The sequence below is a fragment of the Homo sapiens genome, chromosome 1 (assembly GCF_000001405.40).
Source record: "Homo sapiens chromosome 1, GRCh38.p14 Primary Assembly".
NCBI lineage: Eukaryota > Metazoa > Chordata > Mammalia > Primates > Hominidae > Homo > Homo sapiens.
Window position 1 is genome coordinate 231154095 of NC_000001.11, and position 14656 is coordinate 231168750.

Consider the following 14656-nt stretch of genomic DNA (forward strand, 5'->3'; position numbering starts at 1 on the left):
CTGGCCTGCCTGTCTGAACACGTTGTATAGCCACTTCAGGTCCTCTATGAAGCTTGTAGCTTTTCAAGACTTGACTCTCTTCTTTCTCTCTGGTTCTACTATGACAATAAGAAATTATTTTTAAAAATTGAAACTATTTTGATTAATATATCAAAATATTATCCAGTTACCTTATATAAATTATGTGCAAGTACTACTAGGTCATAATGTCTTTATCTGGCATTCTTTCACTAAAGGCTTTAAAATCAATGTTCTTAACCCTTAATCTATAGACAGCATAAATATTTAAATGTATCTCTTTGTTTCCTTTGCTTTTTTTAAAAAAAAAAGCTTGCTCTCTGTTTTTTGCAAGCTTCATTATTTCCATTATTTTGCCTCTAGCCATGATCATTGCTTTAAACATTAAGCTCCTCTAGAGCAGAGATTGTGTTTTTTCTAGATATTACAGCCATTTCCTGATAGATGGTTCTGATAGCTCTTCCATCTTCCCTTCTCAATCACAAAAGACAAGCGGCTCACTCTCTCCACTATTCTCAAATACAGCCTGACACTCCAGCCAAAACAGTCTGCTTGCAGTTCACCTATTCACAAGTATCTGTTGAGAATCAGCCATTCAACGGTAACCATGTCCTGTATTATGAGGCCAAGGGGCAGAAAATTTAAAAAGTAACAACATCTAATGTTTGTTGAGCACTATACATTGACTTTTCTAAATGTTTTACGTGTGTTATTTTATTGGGTAGTCCCAGCTCTTTAAGGTATGTACCTTTATTATCTCAGTTTTACAGATGAGAAATTCAAGTGGCTGAGAGGTGAAGCATCTTGCCAAAGTTTTCTCAGCTAGTAAGCAGTAGAGCCAGGATTCTAACCTATGTGGTCTGGCTTCCAAGCCAACACTCCCAACCGCCATGCAGAACTCAGGAGGTCTGTCAAGTTGCTACCAAACCTAAGGGCTGCTTATGTAGAAATCAGTCAAATGTGGTTGCTGGTTGCTGTTAGGAAACTGCAGTCATTGCACTTGAATAGTAATTTCCACATTATAAGTAACACTGCAGCCTAGTGAATTGAATGGTGACATGGTTCTCAGTGGTTTATAGCACGTTGCCATGTGAAAGGTGCCCTGTCTTGTGGCATGAGCATTTTTTCCCTGGTGGTAGAGCCTTACAGAGGAAATGGCTGAATAAGGCTATCAGAGTTTGAAAGCACTTTTCATGCCCTGTTCCACAACTTGTGCTCTGATCTCTCTTATACTCACCAAGTAACAAGTAACTTGTTATCCCCAGTATAGCACTCCACAGTTTACAAACCTCGAGGGTTTTTGCTCTTTGTCTTAATATGAGAGGCCGTTGGAGTTACATGCACCATCAAGTGCAATCTAACATTGATTTCCTGTTCAAGAGAATATTGAGTGGAGAGAACAAAGGCATCATGGAGCCATGGCTCTCGCTGTGGTCAGGGAGAGGAAGCAGGAGCCCAAGGAAGGGAAGCAAATGGCTCATTAGAGTGGGTGGTTAGGATGAGAGCAAACGGAGCTTAATGGACTGAAATGGTCAAGCTATGAGGAGAAAATAGCATCCGAGAATGACAAGGGCAAAACCAATAAAGAGTCAAGGTCAGAATTCAATAAAGAGAAGCTGGGGAGAAGAAATATTTCAATGTCCCAACAGAGGTGACTAAAGTGTCAAACTAAATAAGGGTGTTCCCCTAATTGTTTGAATAGGCCAATGGGTTAACCAATCTTATCCTTCTGAAGTACCCCCTCATCTCCCCAGCTAGTTTTGGAATAGAAAGAGGGTGGAAGGGTGGGGGGGTTGGGGGGGGGCGAAGAAAGAGAGAAAGAAAGGAAGAAAAATAAGGAAGGGAAATTACATTTTTCCTGAGGGTAGAAGGGAGTTTTATTCATGAATGTTGCCAAGTCTCAGAAACATGAGCTGTTGTGAGACCTCAGGAGGGGTCTTCTCTTCTTTTTCTGCTTTTCTGCTTTATTCTTCACTCTCTGTTTCTTTTTCTTTTTCTTTTTTTTTTTCTTTTTCAGGACCACAACAGTTCCTTAACATCTGTATTAGAGGCCCATCCAGATTCTTTCTCTGGTTTCCAATTCTACATTTCAGGAAGAAAAGATTCTGACTGGCTCAGCCTAGTCAGTTGCCCACCCATGAACTAAACAATTGTGCCTAGATTTGGGATCAAGTTGTATTAGCACGGCTAGTAGAAACCTACTATGTGGGTCAGGGTCCTTTCTTCATTTTCATCATCTCCCAGGCCAACCCACGTTGCTGTGAGGATTAAATTAAATAATGGGGCCAGGCACAGTGGCTCACATCTATGATCCCAGCACTTTAGGAGGTCAAGGTGGGAGGATTGCTTGAGGCCAGGAATTCAAGACCAGCCTCAGCAATGTAGTAAGACCCCATCTCTACAAAACATGTTTAAAAAAAGAAAAATTGGCTGTGTATGCTGGCATGCACCTGTAGTCCTAGCTACTCTAGAGGCTGAGACAGGAAGATCCTTTGAGCCCAAGAGTTCAAGGCTGCAGTGAGCCATAATCACAACACTGCACTCCAGCCTTGGCGATGAAGCGAGACCTTGTCTGAAATAAATAAAATAAAATATGTGAAGGGGTGTCATGAAAGTGTACAGTACTACTGCAATTCTTATAGCTGAAATATGTAACCAGAGGGAAGTGCCAAAAATTGCTTTTGTGGTAATAGTATTAGTTTTCATGCATTACAAAGATACCCTGGGTATATAAAGAATCCTCTAAATTGAAATCAATTTTCTTCATCTGGGATTTGATTCTAAACTCTTTTGCTTGCAAAAGATGCAGTGAGGCAAAAGCAGGCTTTCTAAGACCAGATCACCTGATCCGTACAGAAGATGAGTCTCGGAATTAGAAGGGGGTGGTCATCATTTGGTATTCAGAAATTAAAACAAGGTTGTTAAGCACCAATCAAGGATGTTTGAAGGGAAAAATGGCTAGATTTTAAGATTACTCAATAGAAATTGTTTTCTGGAAAAGAAGCCAATTACACACCCTGGGGAGAGTGCTTTATGTTGTTAGTGATAATTGTTCCTCATTAACTTTGCTGCAGAGACGCTTTGGTACACTATGCCTAGATGTGGATATGGTCACTTTCTTTGAGTTAAATGCAAACTACTTTAGACCAGATGGCTTCTGGTCTGTAGATTTCTATTGAATTTCCTGAATTCACCCTAAACTGTTAAAAAAAAAAACCCAAAAAACTAAAAGAAAAAATATCATAAGCTTTCATTTAAAATTTGTTTTAGAGATTCTTACACTTGAGATTACAGCATCTGATTTTAGCTGATAAAGCCTTCAATTCCATTCTGCTTCATGCTTGAAATTCGAAGCATTCTGAAAGGAATGCAGATGATTTACTTCTAACTTGCTGTGTTAGCTGGAGTAAATTATTTAACTGATTTGTGCTTTTTTTTTTTTTGAGGAGAGGTTACATTACTCAGCCTCTTGAGTGTTTCTGGGACACTTAAGTGTAAAAACCATCCTGCAGTACATTATCCAAAGTAACTCATGGCAGAGTCTGTTTTTCTCTGCCTTGATAGCAGTAGATTGTGGAGTTTTAATTACTAATGTACTTTCCATGAGGCCAAGTGATGATAAGATGCACCATCAATTTAATAGGAAATTTTCAAAGCAACAGTAGGGAGAGCAGAAGTATGTATCAATTGTAGTATACTTTTTAATTTCAGCAACATTAAAATGTAAACATTTATACATATTAAAATTGAGGAAATGTGGTGATGCCTAATTCCCAGAGATGTTCTGAAAATTAAAAAAGGTTCTCATTCCACACTGTTAAGTGTTACAATGCAAATATTATTACTTGCCTCACCCACCCCACAGCCCAGCCTTTAATAATATATTAGGGACTTGAAAAAAAATAGATATGTCATTCAATTTGGGGATCAAATTTTTTTGTGAGTGTCATTTTTTAAAGGGGGGACTATGTTATTCGTTTTTTGTTTTTTTTGTTTAGACAGGGTCTCACTCTGTCACCCAGGCTGGAGTGCAGTAGCACAATCTTGGCTCACTGCAACCTCTGCCCCCTGGGGTTAAGCAATTCTCGTGCCTTCGCCTCCCAAGTAGCTGGGAGCTTGTGCCACCATGCCTGTCTAATTTTTCTATTTTTAGTAGAGACAGGGTTTCGCCATGCTGGCCAAGCTGGTCTTGAACTCCTGACCTCAAGTGATCCACCCGCCTCGGCCTTCCAGAGTGCTTGGATTACAGGCATGAGCCACGACATCCAGCCAAGGGATATGTCATTCTCAACAACAGCTAATACACAGAGACTGTAGAACCAGAAGGAATTTTTTTTTTTTCTGAGACAGAGTGTTGCTCTGTTGCCCAGGCTGGAGTGCAGTGGCAACATCTTGCCTCACTGCAACCTCCACCTCCCAGGTTCGAGCAATTCTCCTGCCGCAGCCTCCTGAGTAGCTGGGACTACAGGCACCTGCCACCATGTCTGGATAATTTTTGTGTGTTTTGTTCGTTTGTTTGTTTTGTTTTGTTTTGTTTTTTGAGGCGGAGTCTCCCTCTGTCGCCCAGGGTGGAGTGCAGTGGCGCGATCTTGGCTCACTGCAAGCTCCACCTCCTAGGTTCACACCATTCTTCTGTCTCAGCCTCCCGAGTAGCTGGGACTACAGGTGCCCGCCACCACACCTGGCTAATTTTTTGTATTTTTAGTAGAGATGGGGTTTCACTGTGTTAGCCAGGATGGTCTTGATCTCTTGACCTCTTGATCTGCCCACCTCGGCCTCTCAAAGTGCTAGGATTACAGGCGTGAGCCACTGCACCTGGCCAAATTTCTGTATTTTTAGTACAGACAGGGTTTCACCATATTGGTCAGGCTGGTCTCGAACTCCTGACCTTGTGATCCAGCCGCCTCGACCTCCCAAAGTGCTGGGATTACAGGCTTGAGCCATCGCACCCGGCCCCAGAAGGAAATTTAAATTTCAGTGAATTTTATCCCCAAAGTTTATAATAGGGAGAAACAGAGGTTCAGAGAACTAAAATGACTTCTCTATATGCATATGGTTCATGGCACAGTTGAGACAGAAAGAGGACTTTTTATAAATAATGTTGACGATTGTTAGCAATTATGATTATATACAGTGAAGCATTGAAGCCAGCTTTGTAACTTCAGTTCAGACAAAGGAGTGGTAGGATGCTAATCCCCCAAATGCACAATGTTTTAGCAAAAGTACAGTGCACGGATAAGCTGATTTATGTTGTAGAATTGAGGTGGTGGGGATTGAGAGTGAAAGCTGTCAGAATCCAAATGGAGTCACTAATGTTAAAAAAAAAAAAAAAGAAAGAAAGAAAAAAAGAAAAAAAGCCCTGACAGAGCCATGAAGGGAGAGTTTTCGTGCATAAATACCTCGTAACAAAAATGACTACAAAAGACTCCAAAACCTACAATCTTGCAGAGAGGCCATCATAACCCTACACCAAAAAATACTTCTATCAGGACATCTGCCCAGCAACTACCTGTCCAGCCTTGAGCTGGCATCACCCCTGTTATTGATATTTGTAGCCAAGGGTAATTATTTCAAAACAATTATTCAATCTTCCTCATTTTTTTCCCTTAAAAACCTCTGTCTTCTGTTACCTCCCTGAATACACACAGAGTTTACTATGGCAAGCATCTTTCCATTGCGGTACTTTTTTCCCAAATAAACCTCTCTTCTTTTAGAGAGCCTGTCTCTTTGTTATTTAGGTGACAAGAGTGCATGAGAAATGCATAGGTGTAGAATTCTGATGTACTAGATCACCTCCTCCCCGTGGAAAACAAAACTACACTCAGTCTGAGTGGAGGAGTGCTTGAACTGTAAGTCCTTCTGTACAGGAAAGGAGTTACACACCCCTCCAGGAGGCCACCCCTACCCCCAAGCAGTTTGTTTTGGTCCGAAAATGACAAAGGAGACTGGACTTCAGCCATATGGCTGCTGGTTTGGGGCAGACCTGTTCACAGTAGAACCATAAGAGGTTATGACTTCCCTTGTGGTCACCAGGAGGCTGGGCTGAGCCGGCGTAAATGATGGCACTTGCTAGGGTCACAGAAATGCATCTTTAAGTGCATTCAATTACAGACCTACCCATACACTGCGTTTCTGACATGACCCTGAAGATTCCATAGCACATTTCTGGAAGGCTTATCTGAGAGTTGCAGGCAGGATCCAGCTCATTGTGGCTTTATCTACACAAGGCAGATGAGGACAAGGTTGTTACCATCTCCCATCTGTGGCTACTGATGCCTGGTTAAATAATTGTTCCAAGTCCCCTAGCTGAGGGGAAGTAGAGTCAGGTCTCTTAATGCTGTGCGATGCTCTATCTGGCCTTAGCTTGGCCTACTCTTCAACTTTGGCACAAACTGGAAGCAAGCTGCAAAGCCGGACTAAAGGTTCATAGGATTTTAAAACAGAGCCTGGCGTGGTGGCACAGGCCTGTAGTCCCAGCTACTTGGGAGGCTGAGGTAGGAGGATTGCTTGAGTCCAGGAGTTCGAGGCTGTAGTGAGCTATGATCACGCCACTGCACTCCAGCCTGGGCGACCCAGAGAGACTCCAACCGCCGCCCCCACAACAAAAACAGAAAGTAGGAAACGCCGTCTGTATTTGCAACTAGCTCGTTTAGTTCTCAGACATGAGTATTATGACAATATTCATTTGGCATTTCAGGATCCGAGCGAGGGAAAGCCTAAGCGAGCTGCTGAGTGGGGCCAGTGGTCCCGGGGCGTCCTGACTTCCAAGGCTCTGGGCCTTCGTGCTGCGGCCAGGAGCGCGTCGCCAAGCGCCTCCCCAAGGGTCCCCCTGCAGGGGTTCCTGTCCCCTAGGCACAGAGCCCCAAGCCCTGGGCGCAGGCTGCAGCTTCCCCCTGCCTGACCCCGCCAGCCTGCGCCTCCTCACCCGGGGACTAGCAGAAGCCTGGGCCCGCGCCTGGCGCTACGACTCCGGTCTTTAGTCTTTGTTTGGAGCACGGGAGAACCTGGGACGGAGGGAGGCATGACTTCAATATTCATATCGTTGTTAAATAAACGATTTCCTAATTTGTATCTGTTTCATGCCAGCGTGAAACTTCTGTAGGCAGAGCCGGCTGCGCTGCCAGCACTTTCTTCTGCTCGTCCCCACCCACCTCTGCCTCCCCCACCCAGCCTTCCCTCGGCAGCAGCGGGGAAGAACAGCCGAGCAGACCAAACAGCCGGGGCCGCGGGTGGGAGGCTGTTCCCGCAGCTCGTGGCTGGCGTTGGAGAATGTGGAGATTTTCCCATTCATAAAAGGAACGTCTCCGCTTGCCGCCTTCCCGTCCGCCGCACACCGCCACATCCGCAGCGGGGTAGGGCTGGGTCTGGGGGCGCTGGGTTCCCAGGGGTCTACCCGGGCGCGCTCTCGCCTTTCTCAGGAAACCCCATTTTGTGAGCGGCACCGCGTGTCCTCTCTCAGTCCGTGCACACAGTTGACCTGGAGCGCGGATGAGCACCCTTGGTTGAAAGGAAGAGACAAAATGGCTTGTGGTTCAATTCATAAATAAAACCTCACCCTTGGACTTCAGGCTGCCCGACATTTTGGGACTTGGATTTTTTTGCTTTATCGTAGTTTTAGGAAGCGACTGTCAGGCCATGTTGCCTATCCATTTCTAAACGACTGGCTTTTTAGGATCCCGTTTTCACCCTTCTATGGCGGTGGGTTGGGGGTGGGGTGTGGAACTGGAGTGGCCCAGGGAGACGATGGCAGGGGCGGGGCGGGGCAGGTCGTTGTACTGATTCAAGATACAATCTCCATCCAAATAATGGATTGTTATTAACAATGATCCTCCCTGCAAAACCCTTAAAATTGCCCCTTGATTCCCTAGCAGCAAGAGGCGAGCCCTTATTCGCTGAGCTGAAGCCTCCTCCCCCCTCCTCCCCATTACTCTCTGCTCTGGAAATTACAACTCCTCGGCGCGCCGCGCGGGGAGGCAGCGGCAGCGGCGGGAGGGAGGCGGGGAGGGGATTCCCGAGCCAGCCGGACGCTCGCCCTCCGCCCGCCGGCTGCAGCGTCGCGCGGCCCAAGGTCAGAGGCGCCGCAGGAGCAGCAGCTGGGAACCAGGGAAGCGGGTCAATCCCGGCCGCAGGGAGAAAGCCCCAGGGCGCAGTCAGCCGGCGTCCACAGCCGCCCAGGAGTAGGGTGAGCGGCTGTCTCCGGGCCGGTCGGGTCCCGCCGAGGTGGCCGCGGCCCCAGCGACCCGGCGGGTGGCGGCCCAGGGGTCGGCGAGCAGGCAGCTGGAGCCCCACCTTCGGCTCCCGGGCGCTGTCCGCCGCCTCGTGGTGCTGATCCCAGCCCCACGGCTGAGCGGCCTTCGCACCTGCCTGTCTCACCTCGCTATCACCCCGATAAGGAGTTGGGCCGGGGCAGAAGGGGGGCCTCGGGGTAGCCGCCCACCGGAGCCAGGGGCTGAAGCAGCGAGCGCACAGCAGCCCGGCCGCTGGTCCTGGGGTGGAGAGGAGGCGCGCGCTGCAGCCGGCGGCGGCGCTGGTGCTGATTCATCACCTAAAGCTCCTCGCAGGCCACCGCGAGGGCAGCCGACCGGCTCCGGAATCTGGCCGCAGGTTGAAGCCGCTGGTGCGGGACCCTCGGGCAGGAGGTGAGGACCCCCTCCCTTCTCTCGCCCCTCAATCATCTTAGGGCGGTGGCTACAGGACAGAGAGAGGGGCGTGCCCCTCGGCTGTGAAGTGGGCATGCCCGTGTGATGCCCCCGCCCGTCGTCTCACCGGGGCGCACCGCGCTGGTCCTCCTCCGCCAGTCTCCCGAGCTCCGGCCATTCATCCCCAGCGCAGAGCAGCGCTGGCAGCCGGCGCCGCGATGGAGGAAGAGCTGAAGTGTCCCGTGTGCGGCTCTCTGTTTCGGGAGCCTATCATCCTGCCCTGTTCCCACAATGTCTGCCTGCCTTGCGCTCGCACCATCGCGGTGCAGACCCCGGACGGTGAGCAGCACCTGCCCCAGCCGCTCCTGCTTTCCCGGGGATCGGGGCTGCAGGCGGGCGCCGCCGCCGCTGCCTCTCTGGAGCACGACGCTGCGGCTGGCCCGGCCTGCGGCGGTGCAGGCGGGAGTGCAGCTGGCGGCCTCGGCGGCGGTGCGGGAGGTGGCGGAGACCACGCGGACAAGCTCAGCTTGTACAGCGAGACAGACAGCGGCTACGGGTCCTACACCCCGAGCCTCAAGTCCCCCAACGGGGTTCGCGTGCTGCCCATGGTGCCCGCACCACCCGGCTCCTCGGCTGCGGCGGCTCGGGGTGCCGCCTGCTCCTCGCTGTCCTCGTCTTCGAGCTCCATCACGTGCCCGCAGTGCCACCGCAGCGCATCCCTGGACCACCGCGGCCTGCGCGGCTTCCAGCGCAACCGGCTGCTCGAGGCCATCGTGCAGCGGTACCAGCAGGGCCGCGGGGCCGTGCCGGGGACGTCTGCAGCCGCGGCGGTGGCCATCTGCCAGCTGTGCGACCGCACCCCGCCAGAGCCAGCAGCCACGCTCTGCGAGCAGTGCGACGTCCTCTACTGCTCTGCCTGCCAGCTCAAGTGCCATCCATCCCGGGGACCCTTCGCCAAGCATCGCCTGGTGCAGCCGCCGCCGCCGCCGCCGCCGCCCGCCGAGGCAGCCTCCGGGCCCACTGGCACCGCCCAGGGCGCCCCCAGCGGAGGCGGCGGCTGCAAGAGCCCGGGAGGCGCGGGGGCGGGGGCGACTGGGGGCAGCACGGCCCGCAAGTTCCCCACGTGTCCCGAGCATGAAATGGAGAACTACAGCATGTACTGCGTGAGCTGTCGAACCCCGGTGTGTTATCTGTGCCTGGAGGAGGGCCGGCACGCCAAGCACGAGGTGAAGCCGCTGGGGGCCATGTGGAAGCAGCACAAGGTGAGCCCGCGGGACGCGGGAGTGCAGGTGCCAGGGAAGAGGGTACGAGGAGAAAGGCTTTTGGCCTCTCCCTTGGAGAGCTGACAGAAAGTCGGTCAGAGGGTCAGGCAGGAATTACCTCACTCATTAGCCATTCATTCCATCAGATAGTCATTTGACAAACAGGTAAGGGACTCCCGGTACTTTGGACTGGATGCTGGAGATGGGAAGGGTATGGAAAGATGACTTATTAGGTCCCCACCCACCCGAGGTTTTAGGATTTATGTAGGCACAGGGCACCCAAAACGCAGACACAGGGCTCTTTTACTCCCAACGTCTGACTAATAAGTTACCTTGATGGTCCCTTTTGAGTTAAGGCATGCAGGATCTCCTTTTCCCCTCTGCCACCCTCAGCAACTTATGGCTGGCAATGTGTCCTTGTATCTGATACTGCGAGAAAGAGAGGAGCCATCAAAATCTGGTTAGGTCCTTGATCAGACCCCAAGTCAAGACTAGAGTTGGTTTTTCTAACATTCACCTAAATTTCCCATCCAAATGCCAAAGATGAGCAATTGGACTCACTTCCCCAGAGGTCAATGAACTAGGCCTGGCAGAGTTAGAATCTTGTGGGAAGGACCCCTAACCGCCTCTGGAACTTCAGACACCAATTATTCCTTGTAGTCTTACCAGTAAACAGTCACCGCAGAGGCAAGAGGTCTCCACACAGCCCAGCCAGAAATATATATTTGAATTGAGGAGGAAAATAAAGTAATTGGCCAAGGCTATCCAACTGGAAATAAGCAAAAAGGTGAGCACAGATGAGAGGAAGAGACTAAGAGACTAACCATTCCTATATAGATTTGTTGTTCATATATAGTTACTCTATAGTATTATCTGCTATAATGAGCATACGTTGTTATTATAATTTAACATTTTAGAATAACAAATTAGAAAAAACAAACATGAAACACTTTAGGAATCCACCTTTAAGAGGAGAATTTGCATAATACATATGAAAAAAAGATAAATATGCAGTCAAATCCCTAGTTCTAGAGCAGTAGTTCTCAACTGTGTCCAATTTTCACCCCTTACCCCAACCCCTCCCCAACATTTGGCAATGTCTGGGGACATTTTTAGTTATCACACCTAGAAGGTGCCACTGGAATCTAGTGGATAGAGGCCAGGGAAGCTGATAAACATTCTACAGTGCACAGGAAAACTCCCCAAAACAATTATCCAGCCCCAAATGTCAACAGTGCTCTGGAGAGAAATCCTGCTCTATAGTTACACAGACCTGTATCCAAATCTTAGGACTTGCAATTTACTAGCTGTATGAGTCTAGGCACAATTTAAAACCCATTGGAAAAAAATACCAAACTTAAGACAATTGCGGTAAGGATTAAGTATAATACTGTATGTTTAGCCTCTAGCAAAGCACCTTAAATATAATTGATAAATAACATTAAATGTTGCTGCTTATTGTATAATCCTAATACCTAAAACCAGTGAATTTGCAGAAAGCTACAGGGAAGTAGCAAAGAGTGCTTATTTGGCCTCACTGACTTGGTTAGCTAGAGAAAACATGAGCTGGCAACTTTTGGTAGTGTTTATGCTGAGTCCTAAAATAGCTTTGAGCTGAATCAGAATTGTTGCCTTGAATTAGTTATCATTCATATGATATTTTGTTGCATATTGCTTCACAGTAATTGTAGCTATCTTGCTTATTTCATCTTTTAAGTGAATAAACATCATTTTACAAATAAATTATTTGTAAAAAGGGCTGTGACCAATTACCAAGACAAGAAGTACAGATTCCAAATCTCACATTCAGATTTCACAAACTGCTAAATCTTCACAGCTTAGAGAGACAAAACTAATTCTGAGTGTTGCCACTCAGATGTTCAGAATTAGTGAAGAGTGGAAACCAAAGAGAGTTGAGATGAGAATTTGCAATTGTAAGAGAAATTAACTGTCTTACATGGAAAAGTGAGTTAGATAATGAGCTATGGTTTAAAGAACTAAGGTTATACAGGAAAAATCATTGGTCATCCCTGGCTTGGTGTCAACAGCAGTTTTATAAAATTTCTATCCTCAGCCAACAATGCAAAGTTATGAGGAAATTTGGGAAGCACATGTGATATTTGCCCCCTCGAGTGGGCAGTGTAAACTGTGGGAATATGACTATGCAGGATCTCAATTTTGTGACATCCTCCTAAATCCAGAAGGAACACTACAAGTTACTTTTGTGAACGCCTGTTTTCAAGAATGAATAGAAGTGCTGCTGTTCTTCTTCAGCAGGTGCTGTTGATTTCTACAGAAAGGGAAACTACTGAGTGCTTATTATGAGCATTTCACCTGGGGGCTGGCAATCAAAAGAAATGATCAATGGGAGAGCCTTGGTCAAACACTGTTGGTCTTGCTTTGTGGCTGGGCATCTAGACCAGTATGTATGCTGTGAGGGTGGCTACTTTTGAAAGACAAACTAGAACCCTCCATTAAGACTCCCACTGTTGGCAATTTAAGTTTTTCAGTAAAACATGAAGTCTCTGGATTTTGTTGTTGTTATCTAAAAATCTCAGAACCTTGACAAGGCCTCATTGCATCACCAGAACTAGAATTGGGACAGCAACATTTCTCTAACATTCCTGTGATTAAAGAAGCCATCATCAAAGCCTTGCTTTAATTTTTCTCTGGTGTTACTGCAGCTTACCTTCTGATTAGTGATTCTTAAGTAAAGAGACATATATGTGACACTGAAATCTATTTTAAAATAAGATTATCACCTTTTAAAAGCAGTGTAAAAAACTTTAGGTCTTGGCTAAACACATTTCTGTATGAATTTCTTGGGAGAGGATTAACTGTTTCAAAGAGCTTCTGATGTGAAGATGGGATAGGGAAGGGTAACTGTACAGGAGAGCTTTTGGTTGTTTGCTTCTTGATTATGAAAATCTGTTTTTCCTGAAGCTGGAGAAAAGGGTTACTGTGTACCATAGCTCTTTCCTAGTGTGACATGCCACAGAATGTCAACATCTATAACTCCTCACTCAGGGAGAACTCTGACCTGCTGGGTGCAGATGGCCAGCTCTGAATTAAACTGGGTAGGAGTTGATTCCTAAGTTGAGGTTAGAGAATAATTCTTTTTTCTTTATAGATAAGCTCTTCTTCTGGAGTTCTTTGAGAGCCATGGTAAATCGAAGAGCCTTAAAAGAAAATCTCACTGATACTCCAGGAGTACTATTCCCACTGAGTCAGCACCTCACAAAAGCAAGGGAGAGGGTGTGGCCTGGAAAGCTCAGAAAAGACAGGACTTTTGATCACTCTAATGTCTTTTTTTTTTTTTTTTTTTTTGAGACGGAGTCTCGCTCTGTCGCCCAGGCTGGAGTGCAGTGGCGGGATCTCGGCTCACTGCAAGCTCCGCCTCCCGGGTTCACGCCATTCTCCCGCCTCAGCCTCCCAAGTAGCTGGGACTACAGGCGCCCGCCACTACGCCCGGCTAATTTTTTGTATTTTTAGTAGAGACGGGGTTTCACCGTTTTAGCCGGGATGGTCTCGATCTCCTGACCTCGTGATCCGCCCGCCTCGGCCTCCCAAAGTGCTGGGATTACAGGCGTGAGCCACCGCGCCCGGCCGTCTTTTTTTTTTTTAAGAGATAGGGTCTTACTACATTGCCCAGGCTTGTCTCCAACTCCTGGCCTTAAGTGATCTTCCTGCCTTGGCTTCCCAAAGTGCTAGAGTTACAGGTGTGGGCCACTGCACCCAGCCAACTCTCACGTCTTAAGGCTCTGCCAAAGGGCAGGTGGCTTCTCAGCCTGCTGTCTTACCTTATTTTGTAAAAAGGGTATGTTAGGCTTTAAAGGCTCAGAGGAAACACCTCTTCTATTAAAAGGGATAATACATACGTGACAAAGAACATGGAGTCATAGTTGCACTGTGATCACAGGTAAAAATATTTTAATATTTGTAATTCTTTTTTTTTTTTAATATTTTGAGACAGGGTCTCTCTCTGTTGCCCAGACTGGAGTGCAGTGCTGCCATCACAGCTCACTGTAGGCTCAACTTCCTGGGCTCAAACGATCCTCCCACCTCCGCCTCCCAAGTAGCCAGGACTACAGGCACACCCCACCACCATGCCTGGCTAATTTTAAAATTTTTTGTAGAAATGAGGTCTTGCTCTGTTGGCCAGGCTGGTCTCAATTGAACTCCTGGCCTCAAGCAATCCTCCTACCTTGGCCTCCCAAAGCCTGGGATCACGCCTGTAGGCGTGAGCGACTGCACCTGACCAACGTATATCATTTCTGACGGCTGCCTGCCATTTCATCATAGGCATTTATATTTTATTTCGTTAACACCTTAATACTGAATTTTGGGTTGTTTTCTGTCTTTTGCTGTTACAAACATTTCGCTTGTTAAGTCTATGCCTACACTTTTAATTATCTCCTCAGGTTACATTTCTAGATATGGAATTGCTATGTCAAAGATACCTGATTTTAAGATAATTACTGTTTCCAAATTACCTTTCATAAAGATGACACCTACTTTCTTTTTTAATAACAAAATTATGTAAACAATTAAAAATTCACGTGGATAAAGACCACAGGGAGAAATGATAAGGTGGATTGTCTTCTTTCTAGTAATTATTGTTTGCTATTTTCATTACATTATTGTTATAACTATTTTTAAAAAGAAGATGACATGTATCTAGATTTTCATATTTTTAACTACTAGTTAGGGATCTTCCCTCAACAATTGATTTAACAT

The 14656-nt window shown here is 47.2% G+C and overlaps 1 protein-coding gene across 3 annotated transcripts in view, besides 3 other annotated features; it reads left to right on the forward strand.

The window, feature by feature from the left end:
• The window catches only part of TRIM67 (tripartite motif containing 67), a 59508-nt gene continuing 52815 nt past the window's right edge, over window positions 7964-14656 (forward strand). For 2 of the 3 annotated variants that reach the window (NM_001004342.5, NM_001410937.1), the window contains exon 1: window positions 7964-9919. In NM_001004342.5, coding sequence (NP_001004342.3) covers window positions 8876-9919 — 1044 coding nt within the window. In that variant the 5' untranslated portion in view covers window positions 7964-8875. The remainder of the gene's footprint in view (window positions 9920-14656) is intronic. The other variant, NM_001300889.3, reaches the window with a different exon arrangement.
• Window positions 8006-8321: a silencer, noted in NCBI's record as "fragment chr1:231297846-231298161 (GRCh37/hg19 assembly coordinates)". NCBI's record gives its function as "represses an EF-1alpha promoter that drives an FKBP-Casp9 reporter gene in an ReSE screen in phorbol 12-myristate 13-acetate-treated (for megakaryocytic differentiation) K562 erythroleukemia cells {active_cell/tissue: K562(+PMA)}" and the evidence as "EXISTENCE:reporter gene assay evidence [ECO:0000049][PMID:32094911]".
• Window positions 8006-8864: a biological region, named in NCBI's record as "H3K27ac-H3K4me1 hESC enhancer GRCh37_chr1:231298070-231298704".
• Window positions 8230-8864: an enhancer, noted in NCBI's record as "H3K27ac-H3K4me1 hESC enhancer chr1:231298070-231298704 (GRCh37/hg19 assembly coordinates)". NCBI's record gives its function as "activates a minimal SCP1, AML or CMV promoter by ChIP-STARR-seq in naive H9 embryonic stem cells {active_cell/tissue: H9 hESC(naive)}" and the evidence as "EXISTENCE:reporter gene assay evidence [ECO:0000049][PMID:30033119]".